General features: G+C 48.1%; 1 long non-coding RNA gene across 1 annotated transcript, besides 6 other annotated features; it reads right to left on the reverse strand.

The window, feature by feature from the left end:
• Nucleotides 1-1,535: 1,535 nt before the first annotated feature.
• Nucleotides 1,536-19,037, reverse strand: LINC01800 (long intergenic non-protein coding RNA 1800). The gene is made up of 5 exons (NR_110224.1): nucleotides 18,820-19,037; nucleotides 4,846-4,953; nucleotides 3,678-3,769; nucleotides 3,203-3,283; nucleotides 1,536-3,018 (listed from the first exon to the last, which is right to left on the reverse strand). It is a non-coding gene; the product is annotated as a long intergenic non-protein coding RNA 1800 (long non-coding RNA).
• Nucleotides 8,514-8,573: an enhancer, noted in NCBI's record as "active region_15910". NCBI's record gives its function as "activates an Ori minimal core promoter by ATAC-STARR-seq in GM12878 lymphoblastoid cells {active_cell/tissue: GM12878}" and the evidence as "EXISTENCE:reporter gene assay evidence [ECO:0000049][PMID:35858748]".
• Nucleotides 14,701-14,995: a silencer, noted in NCBI's record as "tiled region #2197; HepG2 Repressive DNase matched - State 4:PromP". NCBI's record gives its function as "represses a minimal TATA promoter and a strong SV40 promoter by Sharpr-MPRA in HepG2 cells {active_cell/tissue: HepG2}" and the evidence as "EXISTENCE:reporter gene assay evidence [ECO:0000049][PMID:27701403]".
• Nucleotides 15,033-15,552: a silencer, noted in NCBI's record as "silent region_11568". NCBI's record gives its function as "represses an Ori minimal core promoter by ATAC-STARR-seq in GM12878 lymphoblastoid cells {active_cell/tissue: GM12878}" and the evidence as "EXISTENCE:reporter gene assay evidence [ECO:0000049][PMID:35858748]".
• Nucleotides 15,312-15,515: a silencer, noted in NCBI's record as "fragment chr2:65087040-65087243 (GRCh37/hg19 assembly coordinates)". NCBI's record gives its function as "represses an EF-1alpha promoter that drives an FKBP-Casp9 reporter gene in an ReSE screen in K562 erythroleukemia cells {active_cell/tissue: K562}" and the evidence as "EXISTENCE:reporter gene assay evidence [ECO:0000049][PMID:32094911]".
• Nucleotides 15,843-16,062: an enhancer, noted in NCBI's record as "active region_15911". NCBI's record gives its function as "activates an Ori minimal core promoter by ATAC-STARR-seq in GM12878 lymphoblastoid cells {active_cell/tissue: GM12878}" and the evidence as "EXISTENCE:reporter gene assay evidence [ECO:0000049][PMID:35858748]".
• Nucleotides 21,024-21,223: a silencer, noted in NCBI's record as "silent region_11569". NCBI's record gives its function as "represses an Ori minimal core promoter by ATAC-STARR-seq in GM12878 lymphoblastoid cells {active_cell/tissue: GM12878}" and the evidence as "EXISTENCE:reporter gene assay evidence [ECO:0000049][PMID:35858748]".

Raw genomic sequence — 22,678 nt, forward strand, 5'->3', positions numbered from 1 at the left:
TTATGTTTTAATGCATTCTTTTTCTATAAGAAGGCCATGTCACTTTGGAAATTTAAAACATAAGTAAAAAAACCATTTTGGAAAAAATAAGAGAAATTCTGGAAAAGAGAGATCAGCACTTACCCTATAGGAATAATTTCTGAAAGTGGAATTTCAGGCATCAGAGAGATGGTGTTTTAGAAGAGGGAGTAGAAACCCTGCCAGAGCCCTCAAGTCAATGCACACGAACACATGGGGCTAGGGCACACTACCTATGGGGTAACCCTACTCCACAAAGAGCAGTTAAAAAAAAAAAAAAAAGCCTATTCAGGTTGAGAGAGTTCTGTAGGTGTGGATGTTCATCCTTTCCTATGCTTGAAGCCAAATATATGTTTTAATACATGCTAGTTTTGGCCAGGTGCAGTGGCAGATTACATGCCCGTAATCTCAGCACTTTAGGAGGCCGAGGCAGGAGGATTGCTTGAGCTCAGGAATTCAAGACCAGCCTGGGCAAAATAGGGAGACCTCATCTCTACAAAAAAATTAAAAAATTAGCCGGGTATGGTGGCACACACCTGTAGTCCCAGTTACTTGGGAGGCTGAGGTGGGAGGATCATTTGGGCCCAGGAGGTCGAGGCTGCAGTGAGCCATGATTGCACCACTGCACTCCAGCTTGGGTAACAGAGTGAGACCCTGTCTTAAAAAAAAACCCAAACAAAAACATACAAACAAACAAACAAAAAAACGCATGCTAATCTCCATATCTGTCTACACTTTTCTTCTCCTCTTCACAATGTCACTCACAGAGGGGAAACATGAAGTTTGCCATCCACTCAAATGCAGTTCTTTCTCCTCACCACAATCACTCCCTATGCAACTACCTGAGAACTCTTTCAAAAATGCAAGGCAAGCGTATTCCTCCACTGTTTAAACCCTTCTCAGATTCCCTGACCAAGGCAGGCAAACTCCCTCCTCATGGGGCCCCTTCCCTAATTTCCAGTCCTGCTTTCTGTCAGCTCCTCTGTGTCTTCCTCCTCCCCAGAGCCTCCAAGAAGCTTCTGCTCTCTGGGATGCCCTTCCCTCCATTGTCTATGTAGCAAACTCCTACTTTCCCTTCAATGGCCCACTCAAAGGCACCTCCTCTGTGAACCCTTCCTTGATTGCCTACAGGCATGGGCCTTTTTTTTTCTTTCTTTTGTGTTCCTGTGACACTTCATGACCATCTCTGCCAGCAGGTCTGTCTTTTCCATTAGAGCATGAACTCTTCCAGAGTAGAAACTAGGCTTTATTTTTGTCTGTGCCTCAATGCCAAGCACAGAGCCTGGGATGAACTAGGTACCCAGTGTAAGGCAGTTATAAGGCAATAGAGCATAGTGGTTAAGAGCATAAACTCTGGTGCTACCCCACCTGACTTCGAGGCCAGGCTCTGCCACCTACTTAACAGCTATATGCCTCAGTTTCCCCACTTGTAAAATGGGGATAAAGATACTTCCTACCCCATAAGTTTCTGTTGAAGACTCAATGAAGGAATATATGCAAAGGGTTCGTCACTCATTACATGAAAGCCATCATCTTTATTACTTCTGAATACAATGCTAGTGCAGCAGAAGGGGCACCTGGAACCCCGCCCCTCACCAGCTCAAGGGCTTTGGTCAGACAAGACTACCTCTCTGACATATGTAGGTTGATATTATTCTAAAATATGTTGTGCATTTCATCTTCCTGGAGAAACTCAGGGAAGTTACAAAATACCATCTCTTTGCTTGAAGGATCTTGCATAATTCCTTGGCCCTAGTCCATTTGTAGGGAGCACATTTAGTAACCCTAACAGAGTGTTGGAAAAGGCTTGCCTGGAAAGGGTTAACCACAGAGCTTTAGAAGGAGTTGGGCTCTGGGGAAAGAGAGATTTCTAGGGATGGTGGAAGATGAGGCCTCCCTGCCCTCTGGGACCCTGGGAGGCGTCACCATGGTGATGCAGAGTGTAGGTCCGCTTTGCATGTATTTGGGGCTTTTTGTTTCTTCAGTTCTGGTGAGGGTCAGTTGAACTAGATTATGGAGAAATGAGGTACAGAGAAAGGGAAATGCTTTCTCCAGCCAGGGTAGCATGGGAAGTTATTGGAAAAGCAAGGACTAGAACTTATTAGTTAACTTATTAATTAACCAATATTTATAGACCCCACTCTATGCCAGGCCCAATTCTAGGTATGGAGGACTTGGCAGAGAGCATGGCAGACAGTGTCTCTGGTCTAATGAGCACAGCAGGCAGGAATCAAGGAAGCAAATAAATATGTGCCATATTTCACTGATCCTAAGATGTCCCTCCCTTTTTTCACATTTTAAAATCTCTGAAATCAAGGTGGATGCATCTTACAATCAGTGATATGTCTTGAGAGCATTTTCTTCTCTCATAGTGATATGTAAAATAATGCTATACCTTACAACTGATGGCATCTGAGATTTAATAAGATATAGTCATACAATTCAAGTGATGGCATTCTCACCTCCTTAACACTGATTTATTTTCCATCCAAGCAACTTACAGTAGAAACCCCTGCCTGAAATGGACAACTTCTCTGACTGATCTATTTCTAGGACTTCTTTAGAAATTCATGGTTCTCTCAGTTATATTTCTGTGAATCCACTTTTTTTTGGAACCAACAAGGACCCTGCCTATATCAGTAAGGAATTTATTTGGCTACAAATAGGAGAAAACCAGAACCACAATGATTGACACTGATTTGCATGACCCTGGGGCTGGCACAGCTGCTCATCAGGCATCCAGGCTGCTTCTTTCATTTTACTGTACCATCCTCAGCGCAGGCCTTTAGTCCTCATGGTCACAAGATGGCTGCTGTACTTCCTGGTCTCACATCCATGTTCCAGGCAGGAGGAGGGAGGAAGGACAAAAGGCATGGCACTCCCCCAACTCCTTTTTTAAAAATCAGGAAAACAAGCTTTGCCAGAAGCGTCACTAGGCTGAACTTGACTATTTCTCACAGTCCATGTGGTGTCACACGCGCACCTCTAGCTAAAAGATGCCTGTGGAAAAGAGGGTTGTGTGAGTGAAGATGAGAAGCCAACAGCGTCTGCTCTGCTGAAGAAATAGAACAATGGAGTTCTCATGAGTGCATTGCGTGTGTGATGGCATTTGTAGTGCAATCAGAGGGAGGAGGGGATGTCATTCCTATTCTTGACAGGAAATCACTACACAGATTTGCCTCACCTGAAAATGTGACAGAAGCCAGTCAGCAACGTCGTGACAGAGCCTGGACTTCTTCGTGCTTGTCTCCACATATCCAGCCACCTTGAGGAAGAGGATGATCCCACAGGCGCTGGCCATGTTACTAGCCACTTTCTAACTTCCAAATAAGACGGGAAAGAACATTCCAGACCAGGGGAGCCCACCCCCAACTCTTGGAGGAGAGCTTCAATTTTTCCCAGAGACTCTGAAATGACTCCATCAAGGAGTTGAGTAGCTCACAAGGGACCAAAGCTGCTACGCCAGAAGATGGAGACAGTCTCAACCAGATGCTCATGCCCTGAGGGCAGGACGCAAGCCCTGGGCTGAGGCCCAGTGAGGATCTCACATTAAGGGGAGGGAGGAGGAGGGCTGGGTCAGGGAGGGACCCTTCGAGGGGTTGGCTGTTGGGGGAGCAAGCGCATTAACAAAGGTATTGGTCTTTGACAATCTTCTTTACCTGTCTGATGGTCTTCTTTTCCCATCTATCTTTTCATTGTAGGCTTGTCAACTAACACATCAATATAATTCCTTTTGGAAATGGCTGAAAAACTGTAAACACAGAACTTATTGGTAGCTACAGTGGTAGATTGTAAAAGTGGCCACAATCCTTCACTGCGTCTATATGTTTACCCCTAAGCTAAATGACTCTGTGCCTCTCTTCCATCAAGAGGAACAGACTACCTCTCTGCTCCTTCGACTGGGGCTGCCCTAGGGACTCACTGTGGCCAGTAGAATGCAGCGGACCTTGTTTGTACGGTTCTGAAGCTCTTGCCTACTTCTCTCTCTGGAAACTTGTGTGAACAAGCCCAAGCTAGCCTGCTGGAGAATGAGAAACACAGAGAAGCTGCCCCAGCTGAGGCTGTCCTAGTCCAGCCAGGCCCTAGCCCACCAGGCAGCTGGCCTCTGAGCATGGGCAAGCTGGCAGAAATATGCCAGACTGCAGAATCGTAAGCTAAAGGGTGGTTGTTTTGAGCCACTAAGTTTAGGGAAGATTTGTTAAACAGGAAGAGCTAACTGATAGACTTACTATGTGCTGGACACTGGCTAGGAACTTATGTAATCGTCATTTCTTTTAGCTATATTTGTACCTGTCAGTGTGCAGAGTGTGTGTTCAGGGGAGAAATAGCTTGGTCTGCTTCTGCTTGTGCTCCCATTCTGGCTGAATTTCTGTGTACTCAATTGCTCTAAAGAGCTTTCAGGCTCCAACAAAAGGACCAGAATATTCTGTGATAATCCCTGAACATTCCTCAGTCTCTAGTCCCTTAAAAGTGTGTGGGATTAGGGAAATGGTGCTCTAGTTGGAATCCATCCAACTTTTCAGCCTGCAGAGATTCAATCTGGGGAGTTATCTTGCTGTTTTTAAGCATATGTGGGTTCCTAGATATCAGGAACCAAGGGATGATCCTTTAGTGCCACTCACCAGGCAGTCCTAGCACACTAAGGGAGGGAAGGTAAGACACAAGATGCTTTCTCTGTAGTATGAAATGGGGGAGTCTGTGGAAGGTGGTCACTTAAAGCCCTGGGCAGAATGACAGTCACCAAAGCAGTGACCATGATAAGTGCCAACGTAGGGCAACCTCACGCCAAGGAAGAAGGTGTGACCTTAGGCTGGTGGCACTACCTACCTGGATAGCTGCACTCCAGTGTGGAGAGCCTTAAACTGGATTTTACTGTGGGCTGCAGACACAGTTTGCCATAACCTTTGGTGTAACAGACACTTAAAGTCAAGGTGCCTGCCAAAAGATAATAACTTTAAATGTAAAATTACAAATCATTAAGGGTAACATGATACAAATAGCAATAGAAGCATTGGCAGTATTTTACCTTGATTTTATTTTTGCTTGTCTTTCGCTGTCAGCCTTGTCTAAAGTTGCTGCTGAGGGCACCTCATTCACACACCATTTACCCTTCAGCTATGGCACTGACATTGTCGCCTCAAGGAGCATGAGAGTGAAGGCCAAGGACACCTCCCACACAAACTATGGTTATTTCTCAGAAATGCAGATTTAACTTTTTCAACATGGGTTTCTTCATTTACCCTTTGGGAAGTACATGGAAATGTTCAATTTCCTTTGGGAACTGAAGTCAATATTAGCCGTTAATCCAAAAAGCATCCTTCATGAAATGCTTAAGGAAGGCTTGTAAGAAACCAGTTGACTGAATTTGTTTACTACCTATGGGCTTTGGCTAGAGGAGGGAAGACTAGTCAACACTTGGGCCTTAAAAAATCTGAACCCAAGTGTCATGTCCTTTCTTCCCAAGGGATGTAGGAAAATTGGAAAGTGGTCTTTTCTCAACTACTTCCCTTTATAGCTGTTGAGAGGTAGATGGTGCTGAATATCCATTTTGCTGCAGCAAAATCAAAAAAGAAAGGCGCAAACAACAAAAAATATAGTTGTTTTTTTTTTTTTTTTTTTTTTTTTTCTGAGACAGAGTTTCGCTCTGGTCACCCAGGCTGGAGTGCAGTGGTGCGATCTCTGCTCACTGCAACCTCCACTTCCTGGGTTCAAGTGATTCTCCTGCCCCAGCCTCCCGAGTAGCTGGGACTACAGGCACCTGTCACCATGCCTGGCTATTTTGGTATTTTTAGTAGGCACAGGATTTCACCATATTGGCCAGGCTGGTCTCGAACTCCTGACCTCAAGTGATCTGCCCACCTTGGCCTCCCTATATGCTGGGATTACAGGCTTGAGCCACTGCGGCTGGCTGAAAAAATACAGAAGTGTTAAAATACTCTTGACATGTTTTATATCAAACTTCTTACAGGGAAGGAGCTCAGATCGGTTAACCATTCCATCGCTGAGAGAAGCCCCTACCCAAAGACAGTTAATGTCTCCAAGGGTGATGATGGATTCCAGAGTCTTCAGGTGGAAGACTTGGGGCTATGTGGGTCTCACTTCATCTTCCCTTTTTTTAGCTCCCCTGTGGCTACCTATTTGCAAGGAGCTCTGTGCTCCTAATGACAAGGAAAACCCAGAGGCTTAAAATAGAGTTCATTTCCCAGAATCTCAGGTACTCAGAGGAGAGAGGGGTGGGGACTTCTTGGACACAAGCTCACATTAGCTGATGAAACACAGCTGCATGTGCCCCACACCACAAGGAAGGAAACTTGTTTTGCTGGGAAATACTGCAGAGGTTTTTGCCTCATTTTCATGGGAGAGGCTGAAGCTTCCACTCTCTGGCAACATAGGCCAGACCCAAATGAATCTGTGGCTGAGACCAGCTTTTCCTAATGTAAGTGCTCAGTTGGCCAGGCATGGTGGCTCATACCTGTAATCCCAGCACTTCGGGAGGCTGAGGTGGGTGGATCACCTGAGGTCAGGAATTTGAGACCAGCCTGGCCAACATCGTGAAACCCTTTCTCTACTAAAAATACAAAAATTAGCATGGTGGCAGGTGCCTGTAATTCCAGCTACTCAGGAGGCAGAGACAGGAGAATTGCTTGAACCTGGGAGGTGGAGATTGCAGTGAGCCGAGATAGTGCCACTGCACTGCAGCCTGGGCAACAGAGCAAGACTCCATCTCAAAAAAAAAAAAAAGAAAGAAAAAGAAAAGAAAGTGCTCAGTCAATTCGCAGCTATGAGAACTGTGTTAGATCTATAGCCCCGTGACTCTCATTTTGATGTGTGTTACCTGAGCACTTGAGGTCATCTGTGAGCAAAGTTTGCCAGCCCAGGCATCTCCTCCAGAGACTGCTGGCTTCTGAAGCACACTTCACTTGGTGTGAAACTTCTCATTTTGAAGGAAGCTTTATAATGTGGCCCGATGATCCTTAGTCCGTCATGTTATATGCAACCCAGGAGCAAGGTGGTCCTAGCTATTAACACTAGGTGTGTGTTCACAGCCAGGCGTAGTGGTGCACACCTGTAATCCCAGCTACTTGGGAAGCTGAAGTGGGAGGATCACTGGAGCCCATGAGTTTGAGTCCTGGGTAACATAGTGAGACTCTCTCTCTAAAAAATCCCAGTACCCACGCCCCTCCCCTCCCTCCCACCCCCCACTGCCAACACACACAATCCCCACTGTTTGCAGCATAGCACAGGACATCTCCTTCCTTAGCTTCTTTGCTTGGGGATGCTGACCCAAGAAAGTAATAACAGCAAGCATTATGGATTAGTTCTTTATTGCTGTGCAATAAATCACCCCAAAATGAAGCTACTTAATAATAAAACACTTACTACCTCATGCAGTTTCTGTGGGTCAGAAATTCAGGAGTAACTTAGTTTGACAGTTCTGGTTCAGGGTCTCTTATGGGGTTGCAGACATCTGAAAGTTTGACTGGGGCTGCAAAATTTGCTTCCAAGAAGCTCCTCACATGACTGGCAAGTTGGTGCTGGCTATTGGCAGGAGGCCTCAGCTTCTAGACTATGTGAAGGTATTACTTTAAAAATTTAAAATTTATATTACACTCATAGGTATGCACTAGAGGGATCTAAAATTCCCCCTACCTTTGTAATGTTGTCTGTTCTCCTGAATGTCCCCACCTGCTTCCTCTGGGTACCTATCTCCACTGAGACACATGTCCATGCTCCCCAGGGTCAGGTGCCTCGGTTTCTAGTGCCTGCAACCCTATGTCCTTGCCCATCTCTTCTTCCCCCATTGCTCAGGACCTGGCCCAGCATGACACACACAAAAGGCACTCAACATGAAGAGAATTGAATAGAACCAGTCTCCACCATAGTGCGTTCCACAGAGAGGATGTAACCCTGACCTTGAAGAGAACTGTGCTCAGTTAGAGTGAGCAAAAACATGGATTTCAGTTGTCCTGGTTTGATCTCCCCAAAATGAACTAATAACATCAGGGGTGTAGAGAGTGATAGGCATTGGGGATGAAGAAATAGGAGCAGAAACCCCAACCATTTCTTTTCTAAGCTGGGTCAGGGCCTTCACTGCACCTGGAAGGCCCTGACCCAGCTTAGAAAAGGGGGAGCCTCCCCCAGGCAGAGCAGACATAGCTGAAGATGGCTGACCGCCCTCAAATACAGCCTTGAGTTCTGACCTGCAGCTCACCAGAATGGAGAAATCCCTGGCAGGGCTGTGAGAGGCACAGATTGAAACAAAACCTTTCACTTAAAAACGACAATGTGCTCTTTTCCACCCAGCTACTCCCCAGAGGTTCAACTCTGCATAGGCAAGAAGGGAGGAGGAAGAAAAAGAGGAAGGAGAGGGGCATTTCCTCCCACAGACTGGGTTGCCAAATAACTGCTCTAAGATGCCTCTTCTCCCTGGGTCTTCTGGACAATACGGCCCTGCTACTTGTTCAGAAAACACCACCTTCTCATATGCCACTCACTCCCAGTAGAGAAAGTGCTTCCTCCCTGCTCTGCTTCCCGTATCTTGAGGCTTCACATTCTCTCTGGGCAGAGCACTTTCTTCACTGCTCCCCACTTTGGCCATGCTGCTTCCTCTTTGTTTTGTTTTGTTTTGTTTTGTTTCTCTTGCTCTGTCACCTGGGCTGGAATGCAATGACACGATCATGGCTTACTGCAGCCTCGACCTCCCAGGCTCAAGCAATCCTCCTGCCTCAGCCACCTGAGTAGTCGGGACTACAAGTGCACACCACCATGCCTGGCTATTTTTTATTTTTGGTAGAGACAGGGTCTCACTATGTTGCCCTGGCTGGTCTTGAATTCCTAGGCTTGGGCAATGCTCCTGCCTCGGCCTCCCAAAGTGTTAGGATTATAGATGAGAGCCACCATGCCTGGCTGGTTCCTCTTTGGAGGCCTGAGTAAGTCAGGACTCCTTTGTTTGCCCAGAACAGAACCACGCTGCGCTCTAGCTTACACTAGAAAAGGAAGGTATGGACACAGAGTTACCAAATGACCCAGGAATTCCACATCCAGGTCTATACCCAAAAAAATTGAAAACAGGTATTCAAATTCTTGTACATGAATGTTGATAGTGGCATTATTCGTAATAGCCAAAAGTAGAAACAACCCAAATGCTCATCAGCTAATGAATAGGTAAACAAAAGGTGGTGTATCTATGCAGTGGAATAGTATTCAGCCCCAAGAAATAATGGTGTACTTAAACATTCTACAACGTTAACGAAGCCTGAAAACATTATGCTAAGTGAAAGAATCCAGACACAAAATGTCACATATTGTATGATTCCATTTATATGAAACTTTCAGACTTGGTAAAGCCATCTTCCAGAAGTATAGCCATAGAGACAGAAAGCCAACTAGTGGTTGCCAGGAGTTGATGGGAGAGGGAAAGAGAAAGTGATTGCTTAATGAGTATGGTGTTTCCTTTTGTGATGATGAAAAGATCTTCAACTGGATAGAGGTGCTGGTTGCACAGACTTGTGAATGTAAGTGCCACTGAACTGCACACTTTAAAATGGTTAATGATTAATTTTGTGTTATGTGAATAAAAAGAAAAAAATCCAACTGGGTGTGGTGGCTCACGCCTGTAATCCTAGCATTTTGGGAGGCCCAGGAGGGCAGATCACTTGAGGTCAGGAGTTCAAGACTAGCTTGACCAACATGGTGAAACCCCGTCTCTACTAAAATAAAAAAATTAGCTGGGTGTGGTGGCAGGTGCCTGTAATCCCAGATATTCGGGAGGCTGAGGCAGGAGAATTACTTGAACCCAGGAGGTCGAGGTTGCAGTGAGCCGAGATCGCACCACTGCACTCCAGCCTTGGTGACAGAGTGATACTCCATCTCAAAAAAAAAAAAGAAAAGAAAAGAAAAAAGAGGGAAAAAAAAGAAAAAATCCAATGCTTTTTTTTTTTTCTTTTTTTTTTTGAGACAAGGTCTCACTATATTGCCCAGGCTGGGCTCAAGTAATTCTCCCACCTCAGCCACTCTCTCCCCAAAACTCCACTTCCCACCCCCAGTCACAGAAACTGCTGACATACACCCCAATGCCTGGCTCTTTTTTCTTTTTCAATACATAAGAAATAAAATCGAATGAAAATTTGGCAGGGAGGAAGAAGTATACGGGCTCTCATGTAACTGCAAAGTCCAGTATGAATCCTGCTGACTTCAGACATGGCTGTATCCTGAGGTTCAGCAATGTTGTCAGGGTTTTGTCTCCATCCCAGCAGCCCTTGTGTGTGGGAGGAGAGGGACACTGCCAGTTCTGGTGTCACATGAGGCTGAGTAAAGAAGAGAGGAAGCTGCTTCCTGGAATGGGTCATGTGAACATGCAGATATAGACACATCCTTGGTCCAATCACCAAGGACTCCAGGGTATGGAGTCTTCTGACTGATCTGGCTCAAGCTATGTGGTCACCCCCATGGTTAGCCCACGCTGGAGGTAAGAGGCAAAGTGTGAGGTCAACACCACCCAAACCTTATGGACTGAATGGTCTCTTTGGAATAAGGAAAGGTGATTGCCAGGCAGAGGAAAGAATGCTGGGTAGCAAAATGAATCCTCCATAGGGCCTTCACTAGCCTTTCTTGCCCTCCATCCAGGAAGAGCCTCCATTCTTTCCCTACCATGTGCAAAGACTCCACCCTATCCCTAAGCATCTCTGCCTACTTGGACCTCCCTGGGCAGCACAACTACACTCAGGAGCAGAAACCCAACCCTGGAGGTCATTGTGTTAATTTTGCTTTCCAGAGAGCAACTTGGCACTGCACTGAATTCTGATGTTCTTATTATCCTTTAACTCTGCATGGATGCTTTTAGGAATATGTTCTAAAGAAAAATTCAGCAAGATGCAAAGATGTACGAACATAAGGATGACCTTAGGTAACCATTTATTAACTTCGAAACAACATAAGTGGGCATCAACAGGGGAGGGGTTGGCCAGGTGCAGTGGCTCACACCTATAATCCCAAAACTTTGGAAGGCTGAAATGGGAGGATTGTTTGAGCTAGGAGTTTGCGGCCAGACTGGACAACATAGTGAAACACCATCTCCACAAAATTTTTTAAAAAGCCAGATGTGGCCGGCCATGGTGGCTCATGCCTGTAATCCCAGCACTTTGCGAGGCCGAGGCAGATGGATCACCTGAGGTCAGGAGTTCGAGACCAGCCTGGCCAACATGGTGAAACACTCTCTACTAAAAATACAAAAATTAGCTGGACATGGTGGCATGCACCTGTAATCCCAGCTATTCTGGAGGCTGAGGCGGGAGAATTTCTTGAACCTGAAAGATGGAGGTTGCAGTAAGCTGAGATCACGCCATTGCACTCCAGCCTGGGTGACACAGCGAGACTCCATCTCCAAAAAAAAAAAAAAAAAAAAAAAAAAAAAGCAAGATATGGTGGTGTGCATCTGTAGTCACAGCTATTTAGGAGGCTGAGGTGGGAGGACTGTTTGAGTCCAGGGGTTTGAGGCTACACCACTCCACTCTAGCCTAGGAAACAGAGTGAGACTCTATTTAAAACAAACAAACAACAACAATGACAAAAATCGGTAAGTGGGGGTTAAATAAATTATGATGAAGACAAATGAAGGCCAACCATGCAGCTGTTTCAAAGGATAATTCATTTCTGCATTTATTGACCATAAGATTTAATTGTTTTTTTTTTTAAAAAAAAAGATCATGTAAGTACCAAATATATCCTCATTAGTATAGTGGTGAATTAAAAATTTTTTTGAAAGGCCGGGGGGTGGCTCACGCCTGTAATCCCAGCACTTTGGGAGGCCAAAGTGGGTGGATCACATGAGGTCAGGAGTTCGAGACCAGCTTGACCAACATGGTGAAACCCTGTCTCTACTAAAAATAGAAAAATTAGCTGGGCATGGTGGCATGGGCCTGTAGTCCCAGCTACTTGGGAGGCTGAGGCAGGAGAATCACTTGAACCCAGGAGGCGGAGGTTGCAGTGAGCTCAGATCGAGCCACTGTACTCCAGCCTGGGCAACAGAGCGAGACTCTGTGTCAAAAATAAATTAATTAATTTAAAATTAAAATTTTAAAATGTTTTATAAGTAAAAGTAAATATAGTATGACCCCATCTTTTAAAAACATAATTCTTGTAAATCAGAGGGGAGACCATAGGGTCCAATCCCTCTATAGACTTAATGCACAGTTTAGTGCTCAAAATTAATACAGAATAAATTCCATTATTTGATCACGTATTTGGAAGAACATTAAAAGACTCTGGGTCATAGTCGTGTTAGCTCATCTCAGAAGCCCCTTCCTCCACATCTGATTATTTAGAGAGCCTCAAATGTGCTAATCTCTGAAAACTCTGTTGAATTCCCTTCCATAAGGCTTTTCCCTGTCTGGACGTCTTCCTTAGCCCATTCCATTCCTTCATCATGCAGATCAGCTTAGCTCCTCTCAGCAAGTAATAATTGTTCCTCTCCCTAGAAGAGAGAAGTGAAGGAAACCAAATAGACAAATTCAAGATTTTCTTCAGTAGACAGGGGCAGGAAGAATGCTAAGAGCATGACCATGTTAACAATTTTAGCTCACATAAAAACATATGTCTGTATGCACAGAAAATAGTATGGGAAAAATATACAAAAATGTTATCAGGGCTATCACTGGTGGCGTGGTGACAGGTGATTTTTGTTCCCTTCTTTATTTTTTTTGTCTGAATTTCTTTTTATAGAGCATGTTCTACTTTTATATTCAGAGTTTTTTTTTAAGTCATCATACTTCAGCATATTTCTTTTTCTTCTTTCTTTTCTCAAGATCTAGCAAAGGATAAAGAGAATTCAGTTGCAAAATCCAATCCTCAACACAGGATGATTTATCTTTTTTTCTTTAATTTTAGAACTTTAAAAAAGTAACCCCCTTCCACACATACCAGCATGAATAAAAGACTATTCCTTTGTAGGTTTATGAATTCACTCATAACACGCAACTGTGCAAATTCATTTAAAATTAAGTAGCCTGAGCACGTGGTTAAGGACTGAGTTTGCTCCAGGGGCCAAGGTCAGTCCCTCCACAGTAGGAACAGCTTTTCTGCAAACAGTTTCCCTGCAAACTCCCCTTCCTCACAGAGAAGCTGGCCCAGGCACCATGCAGCCTGGCCACTGAGGTGTTGGTGACCCCACGCTGCCACACTGGCGTTTCCATAACCCCCTTGTGTGAGCCTCCAATGGCCGGAGGGGCCTTGGCTGTGGGTGTGAAGACAGTGGGGGCCCCTGCTCTGCAGACTTGCGGTGCGAAAACTCTGGGGTCTGAGCAGGGTAAAAATCACTCTGCTGCCTGCTTTCCTCTTCCTGCTGGGTTCCTCCCAAGCTGCTCTCCCATCTCCCCTGGGACCTCTCTGGCCAGCTCAGCTTTTGTGTTTGGGCCAGGCGGGAAGAAGCACTTGGCCCGACTCCTTGCTTGTCAGAAGTCCAGCATTACCAGGGGTCTTGCCTGGTTTCAAGTATTTCCCGGTGCCTTTCCTCGCTCTGTAGTCAAGTTTCTAGCCAGGATTTCTTGGCTCTGGGAAAGATTGAATGCCTGTCTGAGCCTTCTGGGCCTGTGTTTCATTTGCAGCTGCCTGGCCCTACACTGGGTGACAGTCTCAGCCCTCCCCAGGGCAGCCCGTCCCCTCCTGCTTGGCCAGCAGAGGAGGCCCTTTGTGTCGCTGTCTTGGTGCTGGAGTGGAAGTGAGGCTTCTAATTATCGTCCCCAGCCCCGTGTCCTGGGTTTACTTCGGCTCCAGCCCAGCGTCAGGGGCAGCACTCCCTTCTGAGAGCAAGCAATTCCTGCCTGTCTGTGAGACCAAGCAGACAAGAATGCCAACCGCCAGCAGCCCCAGCCCCTAACTGTTTCTAAGTCAGACTAGGACCTGTTCAGAACCTGGCACTTTCCTGCTAGAAATTTCCAGCTGCTCTGATCTTTCCTGTAGGGCTTGGCAAGGCCAAAAAGGTCTGGAACCAAAAGAATTCATAAGAACATCAGGCCTGGGCCGGTGGGCACCTCTCCCTCTGTCTGCTCAGGGACTCCCCAGTCACTTCCTACTGTTGGATTCATCCAGGGTGAGGGCCTGGTGGGGCTGCCAGGCCCTGAAGTCCAAGCTCAGGGAAGCGAGAGCAGTTTACCTCTGTGACATTGCTGGTGTGAGCCAAGGCTGCGGGTTCCAGGAGCTAACTTGGGATTCCGTTCAGGACATGACACAGAAGTGAAGAACTCAGGGAACTTCATATGTCCCCATCACCATAGGTGACCTGTGCCCTGCCATCATGGGGGGTGACGGGAGGCTATGAATGTTAACATAATGCAGACTGACAAAGACATCCTCTTTTGTCTTCCTTCCTCTTTGAGACTAGAATGTATTTTCTGAGCTCTCCTTTGCTTTGCTTTTCTTTTGGGTACCATGACCCAAGGTACAGTATAAATACGTCAGTATTTGTAGCCTGTAGAAGGTCACTCAAGAATGTGCATTTGTAACCATCTGGGGAGAAAATAGGCTTTGTCAGTGAGTGTTTCCTCTGGTACACTTATTACACTCTAGCAAGTATCATGTACGGGAGATGAAACAGGCAGCTGAAAGGTGTCCCGCCTGTGCACCTTCCTGCTGGCCCAGCGTCTATTTCCAGCCTCCTCTCCCAGGGTTGCTGAAACCCGGAGCTGATTTCTACATTGGAAGTTAGGAGCTGCAGGAAACGCCTCGTGCCGTGCCGGGGACGTGGAGGAAAGCCAAGTGCCCTTGATAGGCTCCTCCTCTGGAGCTAGGGAGTTCCCTGGATGGTGGCAGGAGGAGCTGCGGTTCTGCAGCTGCTGCGGGCGGGGCAGCTGCTGGCGGCACTGTGTCTTGGGTTTGACCTTGACCCCTGGGCAACACAGGGAGACTTTCACACCCTTCACCCTTGCATCACTCCACTCAGAGGTGCGCAGGGCCCAGCCCCAGCTACAGATGAGGAGACTGAGGCTCGGAGGCTCTCGGACCGCCCAAGGTCTCTGGGCAGATCAAACGGTGGAGAGAGGCCAGAGCCAAGTGTCTTGGCTCCCGGGCTGGGAGAGGCCCCGGCGTGGCCCTCTGGAGGCCGCCGTCTGCGACTGCCCGGGCGCCCTGGGGCGGCAGCCTGGCCTCCTGGGCTCGAGGCAGGGGGCAGAGGTGTCCCGGCGGGGCCGGGGCCGGGACACGAAGAGGGAGGCGAGCAGGGGCTAGGAACTGGAGCCGGTTTGTGCTCGCGCGCCTGCAGGCCCTTTGCCTCGGGCACCCCCGCTCCAGCCCAGCGGGGGCGGCGCCGAGAGGGGCCCATGGCCCAGACGGAGGCTCGGGCTGCGTCCATTGGCGGCCGCAGCCCCGGGGCGGGAGGGGGAGCGGCCCGGCGTCGGGTTACCGGGGACCAGCACGGCAGCTGGCCCCGGGAGGCAGCCGCGGGGTGAGGGTGCATTCTTGGATTCCTGGCCGGGAAGGGAAACCAAACCGCACTTGTATCCAACGCAATCAACAAACATGATGTGTCAAGTGCTGTATTGCACTTGAGCGGGTGTAAAATGGTAGAGCTGGGGTTCCTGCCCAAACGTTCGTCTAATTGAGGAAATAAGAAATCCACAGAGAAGAAGAACGCTGGAGATACCGGGAAGGACATAATAAACCCCGAGAACCACGACCAACCGAATTTAGAGGGGTTCCTGGAAAGGGAAGTCTGTTTTTCCCCAAAGTCTTCTGGAAAGCTTCCACAACAGGGCGAGGTGAGGGTATCCGACCTGCCACCTCCCTCCAGGGCCTGCCACCTGCCCCAGCCGCCCCCACTCACCACAGCACACATGCCCGACCCCACACTGCTGAGCACCCAGCAGCCAACCCTGCCTCCACCCTGCCTGCGCTCCCCAGTCTTACCCCAGGCCTCTACTCTCAAGCTCCTCCAAAACTAGGACCCTCACTTTCTTCTTCCAGAAGCCCACCTGCCCCCAGGACACTGCTGCCCTATAGCCCTCTCCAGTAGAGGCTCTTTTCTCCCTCCAGCTATGCAGCTCAGGGCCTGAAGATGTACTCCGCATTGATCACTGAAGTTTCTAAACGGTTTCTCCTTCCTCTTTCAAAAGCCCGGCCTCTTAGCACAGCGAAACTACTAGATGTGATACTATAATGGTGGATAAATGTCATAATACATTTGTTCAAACCTACAGAATGTACAACAGCAAAAGTAATGTAAAGTAAGAATAAAGCATTCACATCAATGTAAACTGTGGACTCGGGGTGATAATGTGTCACTTAGGTTCATCAATTGTAACAAATGCTGGTGGGGAATGTTGATAGTGGGGGACACTGCTCCCAGGAGGGTGGATATATAGAACTCTGGATTTTCCACTCAATTTTGCTGTGAATCTGAAACTACTCTAAAAAGTATTAAAAATTAAAAATATTTAATTAAAAAAGCCACAAATCACCCCTCCTAATGTCATCTGTCACCCTCCTAGTCACTTCCCCCAACCCTTGATTATTTTAGTATCAGGCTCTATCTCCTTTCATATCATCATTTTTGGTGACTTCAGCATCTATGCTGATGACCCACCCAACACTCCGATCTCTAAGACTGTTAATATCCTTAGCCCTAGCAGAATATTCCTCCTGCCCTGCCTCAGCCTCCTGGTCATATGCTAGATCTTGGAACCATGAATGTCTACACCATCTCTAAACTCTCAGATCCAGAGATCCCTTCACCTATCAGTCCTCCAGGTCACTTACTTTAGTTCTTGGACTCAGCAATTTTCCCATCTCAGACCTCTATTCCATGACTCTCCTGTTTTCTCATGACATCTCTCCCCTCAGGCCTTCGTTCTCAGCCAGCTGAGAACTGAAACTCCATGCTCCAGCACACAAAATCTCCCTGGCAAACACTCCTACCTTCCTTGCTCTGGTCTCTCTCCATTGTATTCACTGGGCGAAAACCCAGCTGTGGTTAAATCAAACTGTTTACTTCACACCTGCACCTGAGCAATTGAACACCACTAAAGAAAATCGGCCAGCTACTCTGGATGGACTCAATTCAAATTTCTGGCCATAAATTTCAAACAGGCATTTGAACTGTTGGACAATCCTACTACAGTTACTTAGAAAATTCCTTTTCCCTCTCCGCAGTGCAATAATGTCACACTTTCTCCTCTCTCTGCATATTCTCAACTCCCCTTCCTCTTTCATTCTCACTGTAACCTCAGACTATCCTTCATAGAGAAAGTAGGTACGATCTGTTGCCGGATCTTCCTACCTCCCTCCAAAGCCACCAGAATGCCTATAGCTCTGCATTCTCTCCACCCACCACCCATGGCCGAGCCCTCCATCTGTGCCCTGGGCCCCATCCCCTTTTGCCAGCACAATTATCCCCTTTCTGTTGTGTTCATCAATTTCTTCCTTCCTACCAGAGCCTTTCCATGGAAGTTAAATGGGACTTAAAAAGCTCTAAAGCCTTAGCCTCATATCCCCTTCTTGCTATTATACCATGTTTCTGCCCCTCTTTAGAGTGACTGTTCCTGAAAGAGTTGTCTACACACTGACATCTCCACCTCCACACTTCTCATTCTCACTTCCACCCACTCCAACTGGGCTTTTAGCCCTAGTTGTCTGTTTTAATAGCTCTTATCAAGGATGCCAATGACTGACATCTTAAGGTCACATTGGTGGCCAGTTCACCATCCTCTATTCATCTGGCCTGTCAGTGGCACTGAATGCGTTTGACCACTCTCTCTGTGGAAGACTGAATTATGGGTCCTATTTCTTGTCCTGCCTCACTCTATCCCTATCCCCTTCAATCCGACTCTGCAGTCCCTCCCGCTAGATGTAGACTATACTGTACTTTCTTGCCCCTTGACTTTGGGCGTGGCTGCATGACCCCTTTTGGCCAATGGAATGTAGGAGGAGGTGACATGGTGCCAGTTCCAAATCTAGGTCTTTAGAGGCATTTTATGTTTCCACCTGCTTTTTTGTGCCTATTATCACCATGGGAGAAAAATGTGCCCTAGCTGGCCTGCAGGTACAAAAAGAGTGAGGGACATGTATGCAGAGCAGGCTCAGCCCAACGGTGGCTTAGAGCTGCCCAGCCAACATCAGCCTCATCTAGCCAACCTCCAGCTGACTCACAGCTTTGTGAATCAAATAAATATTTACTGTTATGCCATTGAGATTTTTGTGGTTGTTTGTTACCTAGCAATAGCAGACTGATACATCCTCTTTCTCAAAATACTTCCTTTGCTGAGTTCCTTGTAATCACCATCTTCTGGTTTTCCTCCAGTGTCATGGGCTGTCTTCCTCAGTCTGCTCTGCTGGGTTTTCCCCTACCAGATCTCTAAAGGTTGGAGTGGCATCAGTCTCAGCCATCTGCTACCTTCTTTCTTGACTCTCTCCCTAAGTGGAATTATTCTGGCCTACTGCTTTGAAGACTACCTACATGCTGGTTCTCAAATTTAAATCTGAACTCCAGACTCAAAGCTGTCTACACATATTTACCTGATGTCTGATAGGTCTTGGCATGGCCCAAACACAATTATGGATCCACCTCCTACCCCCAACATAGGACTACCCAGTTAGTCCTGGGTCAGATCATCAGTAAGCCTTATCTATTCCCACCTCCAAAACTGACCCAGAAACCAGTATCACATCTCACCATCTCCATAGCCACAACTGTGGTTTTTAAAATCTCCTCCTGCCAGGACTTTTGCAATAGTATCTTAACTGTTTTCTTCACTCCCCACCTTCTAACCCTCCAAAGGCTTCCCACTGCAACAAAATAAAACCCACACTTCTTACCTTGATCCATGAGGACTCAGCTACCTATGTTCCCAAGGCCCCTCTATTCTTCTTGCTCACATTGCTCCAACCACGTTGGCCTTCACGGTGTTTCTTAAGCATAAGGAGCACATTTCTGCCTCAGGGCTTTTGTTTTTACTTGCCTTTCTGCTTGCAGCACTCTTCCCCAGATCACCACATGGCTGCCTCCTTCCCACCCAGAAGGTCTCGAATGCCACCTCCTCAAAGAGACCTTCCCTGGCTAAATAAAACAGCACCCATCAACCTACCACACACACGGATGCACCCACATGCACACACACACACCCCTCTACCACAATACTCTAGTTTAGCTTCCTTTTTTTGTTATTTTTAATTTTCTTTTGCAGAGGCAAAAGAAGACACTTGCTGCCCAGGCTGGTTTTGAGCTCCTGGCCTCAAGTGATCCTCTTGCCTTGGCCTCCCAAAGTCCTGGGATTATAGGCGTGAGCCATGAGTCTACTCTGTTTCTCCCATTAAAATATAAAATCCTTAAGAACAGGTATTTGTCTCAGTCTCTGATGTATTACCAGGGCCTAGAACATGTCTTGTACATAGTGGACTTTCAATAAATGCTTGTTGATTGACTGACTGATGCTAGAACTGAATAGAGAAGGGATACAATTGGCTAGATTGTGAACATGGGAATGAATGTCCCAGGAAGGCAACTGCAGAAAGGCTGGAGAATTCAAGATACAGTATATCCAAGGGGTTATGAGGGGCCAGGCTGGCTACAGGAGAGAATTCATGGGGAATGAGGGAAGAAACTTCTGCATGGTGGAAAGACTTAAATGCCATCACTCCCAGTCATTGGAGATCGTGGGTGCCCCTGAGGGTTACAGATCAAGGACGTGATATGTTGAAAGCACAGGTTTTAGGATGATTAGTAGGGTTGAAAGGTATGCATTTCTGAGTGTCCTTAACTATGTGTCTTCCCTTGGGATCCCAGAATTTTAGAAGACAAAGACATCTAGAAGAATCTGAGAGCCCAGGGGAGCCAGAGAGATTGGTCCCCTTGGATTCCAGATGCAAGAAGAAGCCATTACCCAACCTTTCAGGGACCGATACTGAGTTCCCGGTTCAGGAAGTTCTCCCTGTGTAATTAAGGATTTGCCAAGCGCACAGCCGGCATTCATACACACGTGTTAACGAGCTGGTGCCCCAGTGTCCCTGGGCTCCCTTATACCCTCCCCCGACACACACACACACACACACACACACACACACACACACACACACACACACACAGTTGCTTTCATGTACCCAGTGGCTGAACACAAGCTTCCCCATACCCCCACCCCACGGATGCATCTCTAACCCAGCTACTTGCCTTCCCAGCCCCCTCCACCCAATTCTATTGTCAGGGCTGAACAAAAGGCCCAAGGCATCCTGGGTTAAAGGATTTTTAACTCTGCCAATCCCAGGAGGCTCCAACATGAAGCAGCTTCCTGCTGGAGAAAAGTGACTGAGACATCTCCCCAGGCGACAGGGGAATTTTTTTTTTTTTTAATCTGGTCTGAAAAACAGAACCTAGCCGCCAATCAGACACTCCTCCCCCCAGGACCCCACCCCGGAGACCTCCCAGCAGTCAAATGGGCCTTGAGGTCTCTTTCCTGATGACTTCTATTTGCAGGCGTCAGGCTTGTTGCTTCCCACGTCCCCCCCGACCCCCATCAGACCGGACTCTGGCTCTCCTCTCCTCCCGCACCTCCCCCACCCCGCCCTGTGCCCGGTGGCTGCCCCCGGCGCACGGACAGTGCCCCCTCCGCCTCTCTGCTCCCCGGGAGTGCCGGCAGTGCCCGGGCAAGGCCAGAAGCCCAGGCTAGGCCCCCTCCGTGGGCGCGCCAGGTTCTGTGCCGCGTCGTCCTTCCCCTCCTTGGGCACCGGCTCTGAACCTGCCCGGCCAGAAACCGAACCCGTTTTCAGGAGGAGCGCCTGCGGGCGTGCTGGCTCCACGCGCGGCTCTCGGGGCGGCCGGGTTCGGGCGTGTGCGTTTCCAGGCGCCTCTGTCCCCAGCGGGAGGAGCGGCTGTGGAGGGGGCCTGCTGGCGGCTCACCCCAGGCCCGGAGGGTTCGGGAACTAAACCTGCATCTGGTGTCAAAACCCCTTTTTGCCCACCCTGGCACTGACGTTAAGCATGCATCTTTTTTCCCTGAAGTTTTTTTTCCGTAGAAGACATACTGGGTAAATTAGAAACATGTTTGAGAAAGGAGTGAGCGGCGAACGCTGGCATCTAAACAACACAAAAGTGCCCACGCCAGGCCACACGCCCAGGCGGCCGCGGCCTCGGCGGCGGCGCAGCGCCCCCTGGCGGCCGCGCGGGGCCCCTACCGAGCCGCCCCCGGCCGTGTCCCCTCACCTCCCCTCACCTCCCACGCTCCTGAGCCGGGAGCAGCCGGGAGGGCCAGGGAGACCCCTGCTCCCCCAAGTCAGAGCAACAGTGGGACACTTTGGGAGGAAGGGAATGAAAGGAGTCCAACGCCAAGGTCCTGGGGGATGCTTTCTGTGGTTTCGTGGCTGGCGCCGAAGTCAAGAACCTAGGGAAGGAGCCAACATAAAAGAAAACCCTTGATCCATTTTCAATGAATGCCTGAAATTCTACCAATCCAGCATCATCCCTTCACCTGCAGGCTTTGATTCCTTTTAAAATGCAAATGCCTCAAGGAAGGGGAACCCTTAAAACAAGGGCAGATGGCAGGCTACATCAAGAAATCACCAACGTCACCAAAGAGACATGATTACGCCATGATGTGTACATACTATATGGTAATGGCGTTTAATAAGCAGCGTTTAATCTTTTTTTTATTCCTGTTGTTGGTTGTCCAGGCATCCTTTTGTACTCTGACAAGCAGTGTTTCTTCAGGATGCCCCGCCCGCAGTGGCCAGACCCTCTAGTTCAGTTGCTCCAAGTTTTCTTACCCTTTGCATCCTAAACCTTTCTCCAATCATTCTACTTCCCATTCTCACAATCCTGCTTGATTGGAGGTTCACAGCATCTTATCGCTAGTCCCAATCATTGCAGTAGCCCAGTGGGAGTATCTGGATCCCTTCCATAGCACACAGGGTCCTGGGGAAGTTCAAGAGAGTCTCTCAAGTCCTTTCTGTACAATACGCAACACCACTGAATCTGTCAAGAGGCGGCTGCCTTGTGCTGGTGGTGGGGTGGGGGGACTGTCTTCCCAAAGTCAGCAGAGAACCCCTGCTTTCGGCTTCCCATCATCTATCTGGAATTTCTCTCCTCTTGCCACTCCTCCATCTGGCAGAAGCCAGAAGTAGGGGTGCTGGGTTTCTGAAGGACCCAGGCAGGGTCTTTCCCGCTTCTCCCCTTTGTCCTCTGAATCCGTCTTTTTCCTGCTCATAGGGTTTCTACTTAGCCATACTGTCCGGTGGGAATGCCTCCAACTCCAGAGCTTCCTCTTCTTTCAAGTGTCTCCTGCTGTATCAGTTATCTGTTGCTACAAAACGAGCCACCCAGTGGCTTACACTCAGTAGCTTAAAACAATAAACATTTATTTGCTCATGACTCTGTGGGTCGGCTGGGCGGTTCTTCTGGCTTGGCTCTGCTGGGCTCACTGTGTTTGTGGTGAGCTGGCAGGTCATCGGATGGTTTAAGATGGCCTCCCTCACACATCTGGTGGTTGGCAGGCTGTCAGCTGGGGTGAAAGGGTGACCCGGCCACGTGTCTCTCATCTAGCAGGCTAGCCTACCCCAGGCTTCTTCCAATGGCAGTAGGCTTCCACGGATGGGAAGAGCAAAAGCTACAAGACTTCTTGAGCCCCAGGCTTGGAACGGACGCACCTTCCCTTCCACCGCATTCTCTTCATCAAAGTAAGTGACAAGG

Source organism: Homo sapiens, chromosome 2, assembly GCF_000001405.40.
Source record: "Homo sapiens chromosome 2, GRCh38.p14 Primary Assembly".
Classification (NCBI taxonomy): Eukaryota; Metazoa; Chordata; class Mammalia; order Primates; family Hominidae; genus Homo; species Homo sapiens.